Source organism: Homo sapiens, chromosome 3 (assembly GCF_000001405.40).
Source record: "Homo sapiens chromosome 3, GRCh38.p14 Primary Assembly".
NCBI classification, from domain to species: domain Eukaryota; kingdom Metazoa; phylum Chordata; class Mammalia; order Primates; family Hominidae; genus Homo; species Homo sapiens.
Genome location: NC_000003.12, coordinates 49,108,050 through 49,128,413, shown reverse-complemented (window position 1 = coordinate 49,128,413; position 20,364 = coordinate 49,108,050). Strand labels below are relative to the sequence as shown.

At 56.3% G+C, this 20,364-nt stretch overlaps 2 protein-coding genes across 61 annotated transcripts in view, besides 5 other annotated features; both read left to right on the top strand.

The window, feature by feature from the left end:
• Positions 1–352: part of an enhancer, noted in NCBI's record as "H3K4me1 hESC enhancer chr3:49165495-49166412 (GRCh37/hg19 assembly coordinates)", that runs on past the window's edge. NCBI's record gives its function as "activates a minimal SCP1, AML or CMV promoter by ChIP-STARR-seq in primed H9 embryonic stem cells {active_cell/tissue: H9 hESC(primed)}" and the evidence as "EXISTENCE:reporter gene assay evidence [ECO:0000049][PMID:30033119]".
• LAMB2 (laminin subunit beta 2) overlaps positions 1–7,300 on the top strand; it is an 11,937-nt gene extending 4,637 nt beyond the window's left edge. For both annotated transcript variants that reach the window (XM_005265127.5, NM_002292.4), the window contains 17 exons: positions 1,917–2,049; positions 2,255–2,447; positions 2,524–2,667; positions 2,930–3,161; positions 3,245–3,408; positions 3,489–3,713; positions 3,802–4,019; positions 4,128–4,224; positions 4,314–4,686; positions 4,783–4,967; positions 5,041–5,282; positions 5,362–5,710; positions 6,044–6,251; positions 6,329–6,470; positions 6,554–6,730; positions 6,822–6,981; positions 7,052–7,300. In XM_005265127.5, the coding sequence (XP_005265184.1) occupies positions 1,917–2,049; positions 2,255–2,447; positions 2,524–2,667; positions 2,930–3,161; positions 3,245–3,408; positions 3,489–3,713; positions 3,802–4,019; positions 4,128–4,224; positions 4,314–4,686; positions 4,783–4,967; positions 5,041–5,282; positions 5,362–5,710; positions 6,044–6,251; positions 6,329–6,470; positions 6,554–6,730; positions 6,822–6,981; positions 7,052–7,188 (3,379 nt within the window). In that variant the 3' untranslated portion in view covers positions 7,189–7,300. The remainder of the gene's footprint in view (positions 1–1,916; positions 2,050–2,254; positions 2,448–2,523; positions 2,668–2,929; positions 3,162–3,244; positions 3,409–3,488; positions 3,714–3,801; positions 4,020–4,127; positions 4,225–4,313; positions 4,687–4,782; positions 4,968–5,040; positions 5,283–5,361; positions 5,711–6,043; positions 6,252–6,328; positions 6,471–6,553; positions 6,731–6,821; positions 6,982–7,051) is intronic.
• Positions 2,935–3,074: an enhancer, noted in NCBI's record as "active region_19855". NCBI's record gives its function as "activates an Ori minimal core promoter by ATAC-STARR-seq in GM12878 lymphoblastoid cells {active_cell/tissue: GM12878}" and the evidence as "EXISTENCE:reporter gene assay evidence [ECO:0000049][PMID:35858748]".
• Positions 6,314–7,302: an enhancer, noted in NCBI's record as "H3K27ac-H3K4me1 hESC enhancer chr3:49158545-49159533 (GRCh37/hg19 assembly coordinates)". NCBI's record gives its function as "activates a minimal SCP1, AML or CMV promoter by ChIP-STARR-seq in naive and primed H9 embryonic stem cells {active_cell/tissue: H9 hESC(naive and primed)}" and the evidence as "EXISTENCE:reporter gene assay evidence [ECO:0000049][PMID:30033119]".
• Positions 7,303–8,292: an enhancer, noted in NCBI's record as "H3K27ac-H3K4me1 hESC enhancer chr3:49157555-49158544 (GRCh37/hg19 assembly coordinates)". NCBI's record gives its function as "activates a minimal SCP1, AML or CMV promoter by ChIP-STARR-seq in primed H9 embryonic stem cells {active_cell/tissue: H9 hESC(primed)}" and the evidence as "EXISTENCE:reporter gene assay evidence [ECO:0000049][PMID:30033119]".
• Positions 7,411–7,730: a silencer, noted in NCBI's record as "silent region_14354". NCBI's record gives its function as "represses an Ori minimal core promoter by ATAC-STARR-seq in GM12878 lymphoblastoid cells {active_cell/tissue: GM12878}" and the evidence as "EXISTENCE:reporter gene assay evidence [ECO:0000049][PMID:35858748]".
• On the top strand, positions 7,591–20,364 carry USP19 (ubiquitin specific peptidase 19). Of its 59 annotated transcripts, none has more exons than NM_001400299.1 (27): positions 7,591–7,658; positions 9,133–9,392; positions 10,294–10,467; positions 10,629–10,757; positions 10,844–10,947; positions 11,053–11,355; positions 11,471–11,687; positions 11,807–11,963; positions 12,063–12,134; positions 12,252–12,367; positions 12,470–12,690; positions 12,775–12,970; positions 13,053–13,186; positions 13,297–13,455; positions 13,541–13,651; positions 14,130–14,240; positions 14,321–14,422; positions 15,785–15,925; positions 16,012–16,130; positions 16,366–16,503; positions 16,601–16,914; positions 17,049–17,159; positions 17,248–17,464; positions 17,551–17,703; positions 17,810–17,970; positions 18,052–18,230; positions 19,886–20,364. In NM_001400299.1, the coding sequence occupies exons 2-27, from the start codon at positions 9,269–9,271 to the stop codon at positions 20,000–20,002; spliced, it is 4,080 nt and encodes a 1,359-aa protein (NP_001387228.1). In that variant the 5' UTR covers positions 7,591–7,658; positions 9,133–9,268; the 3' UTR covers positions 20,003–20,364. The 59 variants fall into 59 exon arrangements, with proteins under 59 accessions (NP_001387228.1, NP_001387227.1, NP_001376528.1 ...); NM_001400298.1 differs by having other exon boundaries at positions 10,844–10,977; positions 11,056–11,355; positions 12,476–12,690; NM_001389599.1 differs by having other exon boundaries at positions 10,844–10,977; positions 11,056–11,355.

The window sequence follows — 20,364 nt, the reverse complement described above, 5'->3', positions numbered from 1 at the left end:
GGCCAGCCCTAAGCTCCCTGCAGGGCACCTGGAAGACCCCACAGCTCATTCATCTGTTCCTTCTTTCAAATACCTCCAGAATGCTGGTTGCCAGGCCCTGTTGGGCATGGCTCTGTTCACAGAAAGGAAGTAGACAGATCAAGGCCTGCTCTCTCAGGGGTCTAAGGCCCAGAGGCCAAGGCAGGAATTAATGGGAAATCACCTGGTGTCACTATCAGGAGGGTCCACAGTGGTGGTGGTAGAGGGTGGTAGTGGTGGGGTTGTGGCATCAGAGCACTCTGAGCAGGGATGTGCCTGGTCTGATTAATGTTTTATTACATTTTGGGTAGTATTTGTTTCATGTTTCATGTTTCTTTTTTTTTTCTTTTCTTTTCTTTTTTTTTTTTTTTTTTTTTGAGACGGAGTCTCGCTCTGTCACCAGGCTGGAGTGCAGTGGTGCGATCTCGGCTCACTGTAATCTCCACCTCCCGGGTTCAAGCAATTCTCATGTGTCAGCATCCCGAGTAGCTGGGACTACAGGTGCACGCCACCACGCCCAGCTAGTTTTTTGTATTTTTAGTAGAGATGGGGTTTCACCATGTTGGCCAGGATGGCCTCGATCTTCTGACCTTGTGATCTGCCCGCCTTGGCCTCCCAAAGTGTTGGGATTACAGGTGTGAGCCACCGTGCCCAGCCCTGTTTCATTGTTTCATGTTTTGTTTGTTTGTTTGTTTGTTTTTGAGATGGAGTCTTGCTCTGTCGCCCAGGCTGGAGTGCACTGGCGCGATCTCGGCTCACTGCAAGCTCCACCTCCCAGGTTCACGCCATTCTCCTGCCTCAGCCTCCCAAGTAGCTGGGACCACAGGCACCCGCCACCATGCCTTGCTAATTTTTTGTATTTTTAGTAGAGACGGGGTTTCACCATGTTAGCCAGGATGGTCTCGATCTCCTGACCTTGTGATCCACCTTTCTCGGCCTCCCAAAGTGCTGGGATTACAGGCGTGAACCACTGCACTTGACCTATTGCTTTTAGTTTTTGACCATGTAAATATTCAAACAGAAGGAAAGAGAATAACATATTGAACCTGGCTGTGCCCATTATAGACATTTTGCCAACTGTGACTTGTGTTTAGAAAAAAAATTCCTCTAGACCAGGCATGGTGGCTCATGCCTGTAATCCCAGCACTTTGGGACACTGAGGCAGGAGGATCACTTGAGCCCAGGAATTCAAGACCAGCCTAGGCAACATGGCGAGACCCTGTCTCTACAAAAAATAAAATAATTAGCTAAGCATGGTGGTGTGTGCTTGTGGTTCCAGCTGCTTGGGAGGCTGAGGTGGGAGGATATCTTGAACCCAGGAGGTCAAGGCTGCAGTGAGCCAAGGTCACGCACTGTACTCCATCCATCCTGGGCAACAGAGACCGCATCTCAAATAAACAAATAAATAAATAAATCAGAAAATAAAAAGAAAAAAGATGAGGGATTGAAGAACAATTTTTGGGATGGGATAAAAGAACCCAAGTATGAGTTTGCAGCACAATGGGAAAGGAAAGCCTTGGAGACAAAGAGAGAGGGGGCGACATAGTGTTGATGAAGAGGAGCAGCCATTGTAGGTTGTAGGTCGGGGTCAGAGGAAGCGTGAGGTGGTTGTTGAGGAGAATTGGCAAGTTCTTGGGATTTCCAGGCTTTATGAGTATTTCCAGTGAGTCTGCACAGGTGGATGTATGATTCTAGAGGGCCACCTTTATGAGACTATTCTGTGCAGATTCTTTGTTGGGCTGCCCAGCTGTTTGTTGGCCTAGCGCAGCCCAACGCAACCCAGCCATAGTCTCTGCTTTGGCCAATGGCCTGGTTGCTGGGAGAAGGATGGGGGAGGCCCAGATGATTTGTACAGGGCCCCTAGATGACCCACTGCACCTGTCCCCACTCGCCCCCAGGTACTTGATATTTCCTAATCCTGTCTGCCTTGAGCCTGGTATCTCCTACAAGCTGCATCTGAAGCTGGTACGGACAGGGGGAAGTGCCCAGCCTGAGACTCCCTACTCTGGACCTGGCCTGCTCATTGACTCGGTGAATAATCTCCTCTTGCCCACACCAACCAAGATGGCAGGGCCCGTGGTGTGGGACTTGAGGGATAGCAGGGGTCTGTGGCAGAAGAGGCAGGCCCATGGTGGTGCCAGGGTGGGCAGGCTTGTGGCAGTGCTAAGGCAAGTGCTCTGGCAATGCCTACGTGGTCCCAGGTCTGAACTGCGATCTTCCTTGCTCACTCCTTCAGCTGGTGCTGCTGCCCCGTGTCCTGGTGCTAGAGATGTTTAGTGGGGGTGATGCTGCTGCCCTGGAGCGCCAGGCCACCTTTGAACGCTACCAATGCCATGAGGAGGGTCTGGTGCCCAGCAAGACTTCTCCCTCTGAGGCCTGCGCACCCCTCCTCATCAGCCTGTCCACCCTCATCTACAATGGTGCCCTGCGTGAGTGTCTGTGATGTGGGTTGATGGGGCAGAGGTGGGGACCCAGCCTGACTTGGCCCAACCCTCCTCCCCACAGCATGTCAGTGCAACCCTCAAGGTTCACTGAGTTCTGAGTGCAACCCTCATGGTGGTCAGTGCCTGTGCAAGCCTGGAGTGGTTGGGCGCCGCTGTGACCTCTGTGCCCCTGGCTACTATGGCTTTGGCCCCACAGGCTGTCAAGGTACTCTTCTGCCCCTTGTTCCCTCCTATGCTTCTCTCTCCTTCCCATTACTGTTCTCTCTCCTCCTTCTGGACCTGCTGCTGGTTTCCTCAAACTAAGTCTTGGACCCTCTACTCTCAACCTGGGTCAGTTGTAGTTCTCTTCCATTTCCTGACCTTCCCACCTAGACTCCCACTACTCACACTCCCCTGAGACCCTCCCCCACCCACACTCCCCTCAGACCCCCTCCCCTGGCTCTGGCTCAGCTCTGCCTTGCTCCTAGCCTGCCAGTGCAGCCACGAGGGGGCACTCAGCAGTCTCTGTGAAAAGACCAGTGGGCAATGTCTCTGTCGAACTGGTGCCTTTGGGCTTCGCTGTGACCGCTGCCAGCGTGGCCAGTGGGGATTCCCTAGCTGCCGGCCATGTGTCTGCAATGGGCATGCAGATGAGTGCAACACCCACACAGGCGCTTGCCTGGGCTGCCGTGATCACACAGGGGGTGAGCACTGTGAAAGGTGAGACTGGAGCAGCTATGAGTGGGTTGGTTGGTGGGCAGGCTTCCCAGGGATGACACATTTCTTCTTCCTCCTCCCTGCAGGTGCATTGCTGGTTTCCACGGGGACCCACGGCTGCCATATGGGGGCCAGTGCCGGCCCTGTCCCTGTCCTGAAGGCCCTGGGAGCCAACGGCACTTTGCTACTTCTTGCCACCAGGATGAATATTCCCAGCAGATTGTGTGCCACTGCCGGGCAGGCTATACGGGTGAGTGGATGGGGGCAGGCGTGGGATCAGGGTGAGTTGGCTGGGCTGAGCACTCACAGCTTCCTCTTAACCGTGGGCAGGGCTGCGATGTGAAGCTTGTGCCCCTGGGCACTTTGGGGACCCATCAAGGCCAGGTGGCCGGTGCCAACTGTGTGAGTGCAGTGGGAACATTGACCCAATGGATCCTGATGCCTGTGACCCCCACACGGGGCAATGCCTGCGCTGTTTACACCACACAGAGGGTCCACACTGTGCCCACTGCAAGCCTGGCTTCCATGGGCAGGCTGCCCGACAGAGCTGTCACCGTGAGTATGAGTGTGGGAGGGCATGGCTGAATTGGGGTTCTGCTTCTTGGCCTCCTCTTGACTACTGTGCTCATCTTGGTTGGCACAGGCTGCACATGCAACCTGCTGGGCACAAATCCGCAGCAGTGCCCATCTCCTGACCAGTGCCACTGTGATCCAAGCAGTGGGCAGTGCCCATGCCTCCCCAATGTCCAGGGCCCTAGCTGTGACCGCTGTGCCCCCAACTTCTGGAACCTCACCAGTGGCCATGGTTGCCAGCCTTGTGCCTGCCACCCAAGCCGGGCCAGAGGCCCCACCTGCAACGAGGTATGGGACCCTCCTGCAGATCCCTGGTTAGATGGGGCCAGGTGTCTGTCTTATCTCCAGGGCTTAGCCTCTTATAGAGGCTCTGACCCTGCCTTGTTCCCACCCCAGTTCACAGGGCAGTGCCACTGCCGTGCCGGCTTTGGAGGGCGGACTTGTTCTGAGTGCCAAGAGCTCCACTGGGGAGACCCTGGGTTGCAGTGCCATGGTGAGGGAGCCAGCGGGGCCAGGGTAGATGGAGGACTTCCCAGAATGCCCCACAGTGACCCTAACTCTGTGCTCTGCTCTTTCTTGCAGCCTGTGATTGTGACTCTCGTGGAATAGATACACCTCAGTGTCACCGCTTCACAGGTCACTGCAGCTGCCGCCCAGGGGTGTCTGGTGTGCGCTGTGACCAGTGTGCCCGTGGCTTCTCAGGAATCTTTCCTGCCTGCCATCCCTGCCATGCATGCTTCGGGGATTGGGACCGAGTGGTGCAGGACTTGGCAGCCCGTACACAGCGCCTAGAGCAGCGGGCGCAGGAGTTGCAACAGACGGGTGTGCTGGGTGCCTTTGAGAGCAGCTTCTGGCACATGCAGGAGAAGCTGGGCATTGTGCAGGGCATCGTAGGTGCCCGCAACACCTCAGCCGCCTCCACTGCACAGCTTGTGGAGGCCACAGAGGAGCTGCGGTGCGGAAGGGCCTAAGAATACATGGTGGGATGGGGCAGAGGCCCAGTGGACCAGGGCTGAAGCCTCTCTAAACACCCCCCTCTCCATCATTGCAGGCGTGAAATTGGGGAGGCCACTGAGCACCTGACTCAGCTCGAGGCAGACCTGACAGATGTGCAAGATGAGAACTTCAATGCCAACCATGCACTAAGTGGTCTGGAGCGAGATAGGCTTGCACTTAATCTCACACTGCGGCAGCTCGACCAGCATCTTGACTTGCTCAAACATTCAAACTTCCTGGGTGAGTTGTTAGCCAACTAGGCAGGTGGACCAGGGTCAGTCTTCAGCTGACTGTCTGCCTCTGCCCAATTTAGGTGCCTATGACAGCATCCGGCATGCCCATAGCCAGTCTGCAGAGGCAGAACGTCGTGCCAATACCTCAGCCCTGGCAGTACCTAGCCCTGTGAGCAACTCGGCAAGTGCTCGGCATCGGACAGAGGCACTGATGGATGCTCAGAAGGAGGACTTCAACAGCAAACACATGGCCAACCAGCGGGCACTTGGCAAGCTCTCTGCCCATACCCACACCCTGAGCCTGACAGACATAAATGAGCTGGTGAGGTTGAAGTGTTGGGTGGGGCAGGTGGGTGTAGATGTTCCTCTCACAGGGCCCTGACTTGTTCTGTGCCTGGCAGGTGTGTGGGGCACCAGGGGATGCACCCTGTGCTACAAGCCCTTGTGGGGGTGCCGGCTGTCGAGATGAGGATGGGCAGCCGCGCTGTGGGGGCCTCAGCTGCAATGGGGCAGCGGCTACAGCAGACCTAGCACTGGGCCGGGCCCGGCACACACAGGCAGAGCTGCAGCGGGCACTGGCAGAAGGTGGTAGCATCCTCAGCAGAGTGGCTGAGACTCGTCGGCAGGCAAGCGAGGCACAGCAGCGGGCCCAGGCAGCCCTGGACAAGGCTAATGCTTCCAGGGGACAGGTGGAACAGGCCAACCAGGAACTTCAAGAACTTATCCAGAGTGTGAAGGACTTCCTCAACCGTGAGCCTCCCACGTGTCCCAGGCCATGTGGTTGTCCCCTTTGGCAACTCCCGGTGTCTGTATCTCCCTTGGTTCATACTTGAGCCTCAGGGACTACACTGGATTAGTGTTTATGATCCCTTGACTGGCTCCTGAGTTATTGCCCATATGTGGTCCCAGGTCCATGTTCTTGAGTCTGAGCCCCTTGTATAGTCCCTGTCCTTGTGATTATATCCTTATGCCTGGTAACAAACCCCTATCCCATGTACATGTCCTGAGTCCATACCCCAAAACTGTATCCTCATGCCCATGCTGGAGAATCTATGTTCTTAAGTTCTTGCTGTGTCCCTATAGAGGAGGGGGCTGATCCTGATAGCATTGAAATGGTGGCCACACGGGTGCTAGAGCTCTCCATCCCAGCTTCAGCTGAGCAGATCCAGCACCTGGCGGGTGCGATTGCAGAGCGAGTCCGGAGCCTGGCAGATGTGGATGCGATCCTGGCACGTACTGTAGGAGATGTGCGTCGTGCCGAGCAGCTACTGCAGGATGCACGGCGGGCAAGGTCTGACCCCATCCCTGGCCCCTATCCCTGACACCTGGTTTTGATACCTCCAGGTTCTGATTCCCCCTTCTCCCCAGGAGCTGGGCTGAGGATGAGAAACAGAAGGCAGAGACAGTACAGGCAGCACTGGAGGAGGCCCAGCGGGCACAGGGTATTGCCCAGGGTGCCATCCGGGGGGCAGTGGCTGACACACGGGACACAGAGCAGACCCTGTACCAGGTGAGGTCTTCCTAGGACATCAGTGGGACAAGGTTATGGGCATGAACCGTAGATCTGTGTAACCTTTGGCTCACCCATGGCAGGTACAGGAGAGGATGGCAGGTGCAGAGCGGGCACTGAGCTCTGCAGGTGAAAGGGCTCGGCAGTTGGATGCTCTCCTGGAGGCTCTGAAATTGAAACGGGCAGGAAATAGTCTGGCAGCCTCTACAGCAGAAGAAACGGCAGGCAGTGCCCAGGGTCGTGCCCAGGAGGCTGAGCAGGTGGGTTGAGGCAGAGCCAGCTGGAGAAGGTAGGGGTGGAAGATGGGCCTCCACTGAGCTACCACGCTAACCTAACCCTCTACATCTGCAGCTGCTACGCGGTCCTCTGGGTGATCAGTACCAGACGGTGAAGGCCCTAGCTGAGCGCAAGGCCCAAGGTGTGCTGGCTGCACAGGCAAGGGCAGAACAACTGCGGGATGAGGCTCGGGACCTGTTGCAAGCCGCTCAGGACAAGCTGCAGCGGCTACAGGGTAAGAAATGGGGCACCAGAGACACAAGACTGCGGGAAACCCCCCCTAAACTGACACCTGCCCTTCCTAGAATTGGAAGGCACCTATGAGGAAAATGAGCGGGCACTGGAGAGTAAGGCAGCCCAGTTGGACGGGTTGGAGGCCAGGATGCGCAGCGTGCTTCAAGCCATCAACTTGCAGGTGCAGATCTACAACACCTGCCAGTGACCCCTGCCCAAGGCCTACCCCAGTTCCTAGCACTGCCCCACATGCATGTCTGCCTATGCACTGAAGAGCTCTTGGCCCGGCAGGGCCCCCAATAAACCAGTGTGAACCCCCACTGTGTTGTCTGGACTCTGATTTGGGGCGGGCGGGGGAGTCTCCAGGGGAACCTCGAGGTTGCCCCCAGCAGAACCCATGCACCGCTAAGCCACCCGAGCACCGCCTCCTTCCGCTCGGGCCCGCCCCGGAGCTGCGGGTCGCTCCGAGCCCATTCCCGCCGGAAGTGCGTCACCAGCTTGGCGCTCCGCCTCCCTCGGCCTTAGCTAGAAGTCGAAACAAAACAAGCCGCTAAGGCGGTGGCGGCGGCGCCGGGACGGGGGAGGGGCGCGCCGGAACCGGAACCGACCTGCGCCGGAACCGGAACGGAGAGCGGGTTGCCAGGGCCCGAAGAGGGCTGGCTGCGGCGGTCTCGCTCGGTGAGTGGAGCAGGCTGCAACTCGCTGGCTTGGCCGCAGCGGGGAGGCCGCAACGCGCGGCCGCGGCGGCCTGTTCAAGGTCACGGGCCGTGCCAGTCCCTACCCCTAGTGCCCCGCAGCGTGCCAGCCCACTGATGCCGGCAGGGCCGTTACGCTATGCCTGTGGCCAGCCTCCCACCTGGGAGAGGACTGGCGGCCAGCGAGGGCAACTTCGTGGGAGAGGTGGTGGCGGGCTCGGGGTTCAGAGGCTGAAGCTGGGTCGCAGCTCGACCGGGGCGCTGATCTGTGGTCAGTAACCCCGCGCTGCCATTTCAGGCCGGCTCGGGTCTCTAAACAGCCCCTTACCCGCCTCGACGTCCCTGGGGCATGGGGGAGGGACGCGACCTTCGGCTGGGGCCTGGGTGCAAGAAGGAGGCGCCGGTGGCAGGTGTCATTAAAGATCCAGCCCACCAGTACCACATCTGACCTGTAGAAGGGTATCCTGCCATCCCTCCTTCCTCCTTTACACACTTAGGGGAACACAGACTAGTCATTATCTGTCCTGCTACTGGTTCAGGCCAGGCTTGAGGCTGCCAGGAGTCCTGGATCTGTGGTCCTCCCCAGCCTCATCTCAGTATCTAGTTTCAAGACCTTCATTTTGGAGGAGGAAACAGTCCAGAATCCACTGGTGGGTCTGTGGGAAACTGTAGTGGTCCTTGTGGCTCAGAGCTCATGAGTGAAGGCATCTGGGAAGGAAGGTGATAATTTCTGTTCCAGTCTCAAACTGGATGCCCATCCTGCCTTAGTACTGGAGCAGGGTTGCTGCTGAAGAGGTAGCGTGACATCTAGATACACTTTTCAGTCCCTTTCTGCTTGGGACAGCAGCTGGGGAGAGGACTTTCTCTTGAAATGAAGAAGGACCAAGCAGTACATAGGAGCAGGTTCTTGCCAAGGGTGGGAGCTGGCAGGAGGCAGGTGGAGTGCCTTAGCCCCAGGACTTTTTCTGGGCAATGGTAGAACCTGGGTTGAGCCTGTTTACAGCCACAGAGCCTGGTTCTCCTGCGGCTTGTCTCCTGTCCTGCCTTCCTCCTCCACCTTCTATTTCTCCAGTGGTGACTAAGCAGCCAGTGAGAGTGAAGGAAAAGTGAGCACCCTGCTCGGAGTGCCAGCCCTGTGGGCTGGAGCCGTGGCTCCTCTCCAGATTGGTGGAGTAGCCTGGTCCCAGGCCATGACTTCCTTGACCTGGTGCCCCCTCAGTGAGGCTTTCACCTGTGTGGGACTGTTATGGTGGGTATCTATGAGGCTTGGCCAGAAGTGGTTGCTGCTACTTGCATTATTTATTACCTCTTCAGAATATCCTGAGAGTGTCCAGGGGTACTTAAGAGATGAGAAGATACAGCTCTGTAGCATTAGTGTCCTGTGTTGCTGAGCCCTGGGTGTAGCTAAAGAGCAAGTTGTTGGGTCTTGGCAGTGATCACTGGCTTCTTTCCATTAGGCTGTCCGTTCCTTGCTGGAGAATTTGGCCACAAAGAGTTGCCAAGATAGCTGGGCCAGGAAGAAAGCGCCGCAGCCCTGACCCAGACGCTGTTGCCGACCCCGGGGCACTCTGGCTGTCGACCAAGCGGCTCAAGATGTCTGGCGGGGCCAGTGCCACAGGCCCAAGGAGAGGGCCCCCAGGACTGGAGGACACCACTAGTAAGAAGAAGCAGAAGGATCGAGCAAACCAGGAGAGCAAGGATGGAGATCCTAGGAAAGGTGGGAGTGGCATTCCCAGAGTAATTGTGGCCTTCTCTGCCTCCCATCTTATTGGTATACAGATTGGGGTTTGGGAGATGACTTTCTTGTTCTTCTCTCTGTCCTGGTTTGATGATGAGAGAAGAAGGACCCATGATAACCTCAGTAGAGCCTCAGCTTTGAAGCCTGAGTACTTGGCTAAGATCCAGAAGATGGTGCTGTTGGGGGGCTTGCCTTCTTTCCTTTTTAAACTTTTTTCTTTTTTTTGAACCTGTTCTTTTTTTCCTTTTTTTTTTGAGATGGAGTCTCATTCTGTAGCCCAGGCTGGAGTGCAGTGGTGCAATATTGGCTCACTGCAACGTCCACCTCCTGGTTCAGGTGATTGTCCTGCCTCAGCCTCCCAAGTAGCTGGGATTACAGGTGCATGCCACCACGCAAGGCTAATTTTTTTTTTTTTTTTGAGACAATGTCTCACTCTGTCATCCAGGCTAGAGTGTAGTGGCGTCTTGGCTCACTGCGGGCTCTGCCTCCCGGGTTCAAGTGATTCTGCTGCCTCAGCCTCCCAAGTAGCCTCAGCCTCCCAAGTAGCTGGGATTACAGGTATGCACCACCACACTCAGCTAATTTTTGTATTTTTAGTAGAGACGGGGTTTCACCATGTTGGCCAGACTGGTCACAAACTCCTGACCTCAGGTGATCCACCCACCTCGGCCTCTCAAAGTGCTGGGATTGCAGGCGTGAACCACCGTGCCTGTCCCTTTTTTTTTTTTTTTTTTAAAGGCAGGGTCTCACTCTTGCACAGATTGGAGTGCAGTGCAGGTGTGATCGTAGCTTACTGCATCCTCAAAGTCCTGGGCTCAAGCAGTCCTCCTACCTCAGCCTCCTCACCATGCTTGACTAATTTTTCTTATTTTTTTTTTAGAGACAGGGTCTCGATATGTTGCCCAGGCTGGTCTTGAACCTCTGGCCTCAGGTGATCCTTCTGCCTCAGCCTCCCATGCAGCTGGGATCACAGGCTCACGCCACCGTACCCGGCTGTTCTTTCCTTCATCGTCAGGGTCAGCATCCACTCCTCAAGAGGAGCAGACCAAAGAGGGTCAGTAACGAATGGGCTTTTTGTTGCTAGGGAAGGGGAGGGGGCACTTGCAATTTGGCTCCCATCTGAAGCAGTTTCATTAGGCTGGGTCTCTGTTACCTGCTTATCACCATCAGGAGCTTGTGAAGACCCTCATGATCTCTTGGCTACTCCCACTCCAGAGTTGTTGCTCGATTGGAGGCAGAGTGCAGAAGAGGTGATTGTCAAGCTTCGTGTGGGAGTAGGTCCCCTGCAGCTGGAGGATGTAGATGCTGCTTTCACAGATACAGACTGTGTGGTGCGGTTTGCAGGTGTGTCCATCTGCCCTGAGCACAGTAGTATGTTTGAATCTTCTGATATCTCCTATCCTACCTCATGGACCCTGCTCTGTCCCCAGGTGGTCAGCAGTGGGGTGGTGTCTTCTATGCTGAGATAAAAAGCTCTTGTGCTAAAGTGCAAACCCGCAAGGGCAGTCTCCTGCACCTGACACTGCCCAAAAAGGTGCCTATGCTCACGTGGCCCTCCCTCCTGGTGAGTTCTAGTAGTACAGGGTTGGGTAGGGATACCAGTGTAGTCGACAGGGCCTGACTGCTGTATCTTTGGCAGAAGAAACCTCTAGGGACCCAGGAGCTGGTGCCGGGGCTGCGGTGCCAGGAGAATGGGCAGGAACTGTCTCCCATTGCCCTGGAGCCAGGCCCTGAGCCCCACCGGGCTAAGCAGGAGGCCCGGAACCAGAAGCGGGCCCAGGGCCGTGGTGAGGTAGGCGCAGGGGCTGGCCCCGGGGCCCAGGCAGGGCCCAGCGCCAAGAGGGCTGTGCATCTCTGCAGAGGGCCAGAGGGGGACGGGTCCAGGGATGACCCTGGACCCCGGGGTGATGCCCCACCCTTCGTGGCTGACCCAGCCACCCAGGTGAGAGCTGGGCACCTGTTTGGGTGTTAGGAGATGGGGGGAAAGGGTGTGCACTGGAGTGGGAGCCACCTGGCAGACCCAGGGCTGATTCTTTCCACAATCTTGCCATTAATAGGTTGAGGCTGATGAACAGCTTTGCATACCACCGCTGAACTCCCAAACCTGCCTCCTGGGCTCAGAGGAGAATTTAGCCCCTTTGGCAGGAGAGAAAGCAGTGCCTCCCGGGAATGACCCAGTCTCTCCAGCCATGGTCCGGAGCAGAAACCCTGGGAAAGATGACTGTGCCAAGGAGGAGATGGCAGTGGCAGCAGATGCTGCAACCTTGGTGGATGGTAAAGGTGGGGGTGGGCAGGCAGAGCCCTAGGTTGGGTTGCAAAGTTTGTAGGTGGATAGAGAGTAGCAATAGGCTGGAACCTGTCCTGGTTGGGGCTGAGCCATGGTCTCAATATAGAGCCCGAGTCGATGGTGAACCTGGCGTTTGTCAAGAATGACTCGTATGAGAAGGGCCCGGATTCAGTGGTGGTGCACGTGTACGTGAAGGAGATCTGCAGGGACACCTCAAGAGTACTTTTCCGTGAGCAGGACTTCACGCTCATCTTCCAGACCAGGTGGGTGGGTAGATGATGGGGCAAACAATGCCTCAGGTGGGACAGTATGTCTCATGCTCTTCCTCTTGTCCTTCCTCCTATCCTGCTGTGCCTCTGCAGGGATGGAAACTTCCTGAGGCTGCACCCGGGCTGTGGGCCCCACACCACCTTCCGTTGGCAGGTGAAGCTCAGGTGGGTGGTGCCCGGCCCCACCACTGTGCCTGTCCTACCCCGTGGGCTCCATCTCCCTGGCTCATCTATCCTGATGCTCATTCCTCCTAAGTCCCTGAGTTCAGCCTTTTCCCACAGGAATCTGATTGAGCCAGAGCAGTGCACCTTCTGTTTCACGGCTTCTCGCATCGACATCTGCCTTCGTAAGAGGCAGAGTCAGCGCTGGGGGGGCCTGGAGGCCCCGGCTGCACGAGGTCTGCACACGAGCTCCCTTCATTGCCCAGTTCCACGTGACCAGGACCCAAACCCCTGTCACATGCTGCTAACCACCAGCCCTCTCATTCCCCCTTTTTAAGGTGCAGTGGGTGGTGCAAAGGTTGCCGTGCCGACAGGTCCAACCCCTCTGGATTCAACCCCACCAGGAGGTGCTCCCCACCCCCTGACAGGCCAGGAGGAGGCCCGGGCTGTGGAGAAGGATAAATCCAAGGCACGATCTGAGGACACAGGGCTAGACAGTGTGGCAACCCGCACACCCATGGAGCATGTAACCCCAAAGCCAGAGACACACCTGGCCTCGGTGAGAATTCTGGGGTGGGAAGGACGAAGAATGGAGGCTGGAGAGTCTTGGGGCTGTTCTCTCATGTCGTCTTTGCTCCTGCAGCCCAAGCCTACATGCATGGTGCCTCCCATGCCCCACAGCCCAGTTAGTGGAGACAGCGTGGAGGAGGAGGAAGAGGAAGAGAAGAAGGTGTGTCTGCCAGGCTTCACTGGCCTTGTCAATTTAGGCAACACCTGCTTCATGAACAGCGTCATTCAGTCTCTGTCCAACACTCGGGAACTCCGGGACTTCTTCCATGGTGAGGGCAGGGCCTGGAGCCTGGGTTATGGGCAGAGAGAGTGCCTTTGTTCCTCACACCTTTGCTCGGCTACTATTCCTAGACCGCTCCTTTGAGGCTGAGATCAACTACAACAACCCACTAGGGACTGGTGGGCGTCTGGCCATTGGCTTTGCCGTGCTGCTTCGGGCGCTGTGGAAGGGCACCCACCATGCCTTCCAGCCTTCCAAGTTGAAGGTGATCTGTGACCACTGTCACCCTTGGCTGGAGGGGGCGGGGAGGGCCAGCCAGCTGGGTGTGCAGTGGGTGCTAGGGCTTCATGTTCACACCTTGGCTCCTGTATCCAGGCCATTGTGGCGAGTAAGGCCAGCCAGTTCACAGGCTATGCACAGCATGATGCCCAGGAGTTCATGGCTTTCCTGCTGGATGGGCTGCACGAGGACCTGAATCGCATTCAGAACAAGCCCTACACAGAGACCGTGGATTCAGATGGGCGGCCCGATGAGGTCAGGGTTAGGGACAGAGGGTGGGCATGTCTCATGAGCATCCCAGCCCCTGGTACTCTTTGGTTCTCACCACTCTGCCTCTCAGGTGGTAGCTGAGGAAGCATGGCAGCGGCACAAGATGAGGAATGACTCTTTCATCGTGGACCTATTTCAGGGGCAGTACAAGTCGAAGCTGGTGTGCCCTGTGTGTGCCAAGGTGTGATGGGCTCCCCTGGAAAGAGACCCCCTAGTTCAGCTCAGCTATTCTGGTCACATTAGGTTCAGAGGCATGTGCATCTTAAGGTGCTACAGGGCAAGGTTTGGGCAAAGAAGCTGGCAGGGAGGCCTTAGGATTCTATTTGGGCTGAAGAGCCCACTCAGGGTAGGCTTCCTGACTGAGGGAAAAGTGATGTTAGAGCTCAAAGGTGTTGTAGCAGGGTTGTGGGCACATGGGGTGCAAGTGTGAGGCCAATTCGTAAAGTGGCTAAGCTGAGTAGGGCTTTGAGTGCCAGAAAGAAGGATTGTTATTTCCTGGTGGTCCTCCTGCCCTGTCTAGTGTCCTGAAGCCTGAGAGTTTGCTGGTTGGCTGTGGGGGCCCTGAGAGCCATCAGAAGCCCCGGAATGGGCTCTCTGAGCATGAGCATCTTATCTCCCACTCTGTGTGCAGCTACCCAGTGCCACCTCTACATCCACAGGTCTCCATCACTTTTGACCCGTTTCTTTATCTGCCGGTGCCCTTGCCACAAAAGCAAAAGGTTCTCCCTGTCTTTTATTTTGCCCGAGAGCCCCACAGCAAGCCCATCAAGGTGAGGAGTAAGCCCCTACCCTCTGGGCTGTTCTAGAGAACGTGGCCCACCTCCCTCACTGACTGCCCTTTTTGCCACAGTTCCTGGTGAGCGTCAGCAAGGAGAACTCCACTGCGAGCGAAGTATTGGACTCCCTCTCTCAGAGTGTTCATGTGAAGCCTGAGAACCTGCGTTTGGCGGAGGTATCTTTGTCCTTCCTTGGGCTATCACATGTGTGGATGTGTGTGTGTACTCACCACAGACGTGTGTACAGTCATTGGCATCTACAGACATACACATGGGCTGGGCACAGTGGCTCATGCCTGTAGTCCCAGCACTTTGTGAGGCCGAGGTGGGCAGATCACTTGAGCCCAGGAGTTTGGGACCAGCCTGGGCAACTTGGTGAAACACTGTCTCTACAAGAAATAAAATTAGCTGGGCATGGTGGTACGTGTTATAGTCCCAGCTACTTGGGAGGCTGAGGCAAGAGGCTCACTTGAGCCCGGGATGTGGAGGTTGCAGTGAGCAGAGATTGCACCACAGCACTCCAGCCTGGGTGACAGAGTGAGACTCTGTCTCAAAAATAAATAAATAAATAGATAAAAAAATAAAAATAGGGCCAGGCGTGGTGGCTCATGCCTGTAATCCCAGCTCTTTGGGAGGCCAAGGCTGATGGATCACAAGGTCAGGAGATCCAGACCACCCTGGCTTACATGGTGAAACCCCACCTCTACTAAAAATACAGGAAAAGTTAGCCGGGCGTGGTGGCACATGTCTGTAGTCCCAGCTGCTCAGGAGGCTGAGGCAGGAGAATCGCTTGAACCTGGGAGGCAGAGGTTGCAGTGAGCCGAGATCGCGCCACTGCACTCCAGCCTGGGTGACAGAGTGAGACTCTGTCTCAAAAATAAAATAAAATAAAATAAAAATAGACATACACATGAGTATGCCTGTGACTGTACAAAAACAGGCGATGTGCTGTTATTTTTTCTGTGCAACAGAAGTGCCCTCAGTTCCTAGCCATTATCAGGGTTTATTCCCCTTTGTGGTGGTGGATCCCAACTGCATTTCCCTTTTTAGACAAGGAGCTTGAGCTGCAGGACTATCCCTATGTTCGCTCTGCCTCTCCCTCTATCCTGCTGCTCTCTCCTTTTATCCCAGTTGTGTGTGCTAGCTCTCCCCAGGGGTTCCTAGCCTTTAGCCTGACAGTGTTGGTTTTCTTAGGGGTAAGAGTGGGGAGGAGGCTCTTTGAATGTGGACCCTCCATGATAATATGTTACAGTCTTATAAGGCTATGCTAGTTATAGCAGGGCAGAGTCCCTCAGTGTGGAGAGCTGGTGTGGTTGATATCTGCCTCACACCTGGTCTTTCAGGCCCTCTGATGCACCAGGCTCCTTATGGCATTGGGCACTGAGACAGGTGCCAGCAGAGGCATAAGCCTATTTGGGCCTACAGACCTCACCACTGCCCACATAGACCCAAGGCAGGGCCAAGCCTTCTTAAACTCTGGGGCAGGGCTAGGGAAAGGGCTTATCCTCACGTGGGATCTGTGTGTTCTCTGTCCCCAGGTAATTAAGAATCGTTTTCATCGTGTGTTCCTACCCTCCCACTCACTGGACACTGTGTCCCCATCTGATACGCTCCTCTGCTTTGAGCTGCTATCCTCAGAGTTGGCTAAGGAGCGGGTAGTGGTGCTAGAGGTGCAACAGGTGAGTGGGGGCCAACCTGATGGCACAGCGCCCTGGTGGGTGGGGCACTTCTTCCTGGTCTTGCTGAGCCAGACGACCCACCCTAGCGCCCCCAGGTGCCCAGCGTCCCCATCTCCAAGTGTGCAGCCTGCCAGCGGAAGCAACAGTCGGAGGATGAAAAGCTGAAGCGCTGTACCCGGTGCTACCGTGTGGGCTACTGCAACCAGTGAGGACCCCCATGGTCTCCCCTACCCTTTCTTTCCACCTTCCATGTGCCACCCTGCTCCTTCCCTTCACACCAAGGCACATATGCTTAAGCTTTCTACTTGCCACCCTACTTTACCAGGCTCTGGGGGAGGCAGGGCTGGCGTACCCAGTTCCCAGGGACTATGACTAGCCCCCAGTATGGAGTCATAGGAGATGGGGCTAAGGGCCTATCCTTGTCTTCCTCTTCCCGTCAGGCTCTGCCAGAAAACCCACTGGCCTGACCACAAGGGCCTCTGCCGACCTGAGAACATTGGCTACCCCTTCCTGGTCAGTGTACCTGCCTCACGCCTCACTTATGCCCGCCTCGCTCAGTTGCTAGAGGGCTATGCCCGGTAAGTGCCCAGTGGTTGGACTAGAGTGGTGTAGGTGGGGGCAGAGGTGCTAGATGGGCTGGTCAGGAGTCTTACTTGCGTTGTTCTCTGTTGCCAGGTACTCTGTGAGTGTATTCCAGCCACCCTTTCAGCCAGGCCGCATGGCCTTGGAGTCTCAGAGCCCTGGCTGCACCACACTGCTCTCCACAGGTTCCCTGGAGGCTGGGGACAGCGAGAGAGACCCCATTCAGCCACCTGAGCTCCAGCTGGTGACCCCTATGGCTGAGGGGGACACAGGGCTTCCCCGGGTGTGGGCAGCCCCTGACCGGGGTCCTGTGCCCAGCACCAGTGGAATTTCTTCTGAGATGCTGGCCAGTGGGCCCATTGAGGTTGGCTCCTTGCCAGCTGGCGAGAGGGTGTCCCGACCCGAAGGTAAGATCCAGTGAAAGGCTCTAGAAGCTGGGGAGGAGGATAAGGGAGGATGGAGGGGGCTGTTGTTTAGGGCCTGGTGGGCCTGGTGAGGCCCTGATGGGCAGGGAAGCTTTGATTATCATGTTCTCACACAGCTGCTGTGCCTGGGTACCAGCATCCAAGTGAAGCTATGAATGCCCACACACCCCAGTTCTTCATCTATAAAATTGATTCATCCAACCGAGAGCAGCGGCTAGAGGACAAAGGTGTCTGAGGCTGTGGGTGGGAGCCATGGGGTGGGTTGAGCTGGCTGTTCTCCACAGCTGCATGACCTCTCTCCCTGCGAATCTCCAGGAGACACCCCACTGGAGCTGGGTGACGACTGTAGCCTGGCTCTCGTCTGGCGGAACAATGAGCGCTTGCAGGAGTTTGTGTTGGTAGCCTCCAAGGAGCTGGAATGTGCTGAGGATCCAGGCTCTGCCGGTGAGGCTGCCCGGGCCGGCCACTTCACCCTGGACCAGTGCCTCAACCTCTTCACACGGCCTGAGGTGCTGGCACCCGAGGAGGCCTGGTGAGAACAGAGCAGCAAGTAGATAAGGGGGCAGGATGGAGAAGAGAGAGACTTGCTGGTCCTGACCCAATCTCTGTCCCCACCAGGTACTGCCCACAGTGCAAACAGCACCGTGAGGCCTCCAAGCAGCTGTTGCTATGGCGCCTGCCAAATGTTCTCATCGTGCAGCTCAAGCGCTTCTCCTTTCGTAGTTTTATCTGGCGTGACAAGATCAATGACTTGGTGGAGTTCCCTGTTAGGTAAGCAGTGGACCTTGGTAACTGTGGGTGGGGTGTGAGGACCAGGATGGGCATCCTGAGCGCCTGTTGCCTGTCTCACCCCTCCCTGACTGGACCTGACCTGCAGGAACCTGGACCTGAGCAAGTTCTGCATTGGTCAGAAAGAGGAGCAGCTGCCCAGCTACGATCTATATGCTGTCATCAACCACTATGGAGGCATGATTGGTGGCCACTACACTGCCTGTGCACGCCTGCCCAATGATCGTAGCAGTCAGCGCAGTGACGTGGGTGAGGGCACACACAGCCAGCAGGATAGGTGGTAGGGGTGGTGGTGCAGACTTTGTTCACACTCTTCCCACCCTGCTGTAGGCTGGCGCTTGTTTGATGACAGCACAGTGACAACGGTAGACGAGAGCCAGGTTGTGACGCGTTATGCCTATGTACTCTTCTACCGCCGGCGGAACTCTCCTGTGGAGAGGCCCCCCAGGGCAGGTCACTCTGAGCACCACCCAGACCTAGGCCCTGCAGCTGAGGCTGCTGCCAGCCAGGTGAGGCATGTGGGAGGCTTTACAGAATACTGGGGGACAGTTCACAGACTGGGGCCGGGTTGGGGGATATAGCTTCCTCTCCTCCAGCCACAGGCCCATTGAGCCTTGGGATTCATGAGAATTGCAGAGTTCTCTTAACATCAAAGCTTTAGCCAGAGGCATCCCCATGCCTTGGGGACACTAACAAACATACAAGTACACTAACATGCTGCCACTGGCAAGCACATTGGCACCTACTTGGCACAGGTCAGGCAACTGCTCTGAACCTCACTGGGCACTATGCTGTGAATGAACTATACCTGACACTCTCCTAGATTTCCTCTGCACATTCCCCACATGCTGGCCCACACACCCTCACTTGTGATGTCCCTGAGTTCTAGTGTGCACTCAAGACAAGGCCTATTTGGGCTGGCCATGGCCTCTGGTGGCTGTTATACTCTTTGAGGTAAGCATCTGTCTTTGCTGAGCCTTCAGGATCTTCTCTTTAGTGACATGGTGTGCCATAGGCCCAGTTAGTGGGCGTAGGCACATCTCTTTTCTGGACTGGCCGTCTCCTTTCTGGCTCCATCCTCTCTTGAGCCTTCTCTGTCAAGCTTAGAGAAATCCTTGCAGAAGACTGGTCAGGATCTGGGTATGGGTGGGAAGGAGCAAGGAGATTGCTCTGGGATTGGCAGTCCTGTTCTCTATGAATCGGTGTCCTTTGGGGAGGCCTGGACTGAAATACTAACCAGATAACTCCCCTCCCACCTCCATGCGGAGCTGCATGTGGATTGAGAGCTGTTTAGGGTAGGCCAAAATGCTGTCAAGATTCTCTTACCCTTGTGCTCTTACTCTGGACAGCCCTGAGGTTGGCTGCCTGCCTTCCTCCTTGCTGTTTGATCTAGAATGCAGGGTGTTAGCCCCAGTCACCCCAGGTGGGACTGTCATGGCTAAGGGTCTCAGGGACACTGGGTCCTCCCCACCCCCGGGGTGCTGATGGCCGTTTCCACATACCCTAGGCTTCCCGGATTTGGCAGGAGCTGGAGGCTGAGGAGGAGCCGGTGCCTGAGGGGTCTGGGCCCCTGGGTCCCTGGGGGCCCCAAGACTGGGTGGGCCCCCTACCACGTGGCCCTACCACACCAGATGAGGGCTGCCTCCGGTACTTTGTCCTGGGCACCGTGGCGGCTTTGGTGGCCCTCGTGCTCAACGTGTTCTATCCTCTGGTATCCCAGAGTCGCTGGAGATGAGCTCGCCTGCAGGCAGCTGCTGTGAGCTGGCCTACCTGCCTGCCCCAGGCCATGCCTGCCTTTGTTGTGGGGAACACCTCTGGGCTTTGGGCCTCAGCTTATGCATCTGGTGGGAGAGGGTGGGGAGGTTGTGGCCCCTGCAGGGGCAGAGTATCCTAGGGTGTGTATCCATCTGGCTGTCTGTCCATTCATCCTGCTGCTCTGACCCTTGGCCTCAGGCTTGGCCCTGCCCAAGCTACTTCCTGTACTTAAAAGTGTTAATAAAACCAGACTATTCAGGCCCAATCTCGTCTCTCTGTCTCAACGCCGCTGCTGTCTGCGCCTGCCTTGGGACCCTCCCTTGGGTGCCAGGGCTCCAAGCCAGCACCCCCGGGATGCCAGGCGGCATGCTGGGCAGCCCCCAACCCCTGTCCTCGTATTCTGTTGCAGGGACTAGGCCCTGGCCAGGCCCCCGAGGTGGCCCCCACGCGGACAGCCCCTGAACGCTTCGCCCCCCCTGTGGATCGGCCAGCCCCCACCTACAGCAACATGGAGGAGGTGGATTAGCAGGTCCCTGGCTGATGGGGGGGACTGGGTTTGGGACACCCACACAGAGGGCCAGCTCCTTGCCGCTTCTCCTTCTCTAACCCAGAGGACACTGGCTCTGTCAATGGGAAGCTGAGGGGTATGATTTGGGTGTGGAGACCTCTCAGGTTGGGACTTCTTGTCAGCTTGGACCCCTGACCAGTGGGCTTTGGCTTCTCCAGCCGCCTCCAGTGCTGCGTGATTTGATTCTGTTGTACCTTCAATTCTTCTGACCCGCATTATAAACATTATAATTTTATTCTAAAAATTGTAATTTTTTTTGCATTTTGGAAGTGACTGCTGCTGTTTAAATATATTTTAAAAATAAATAATAAGTAAGTAGA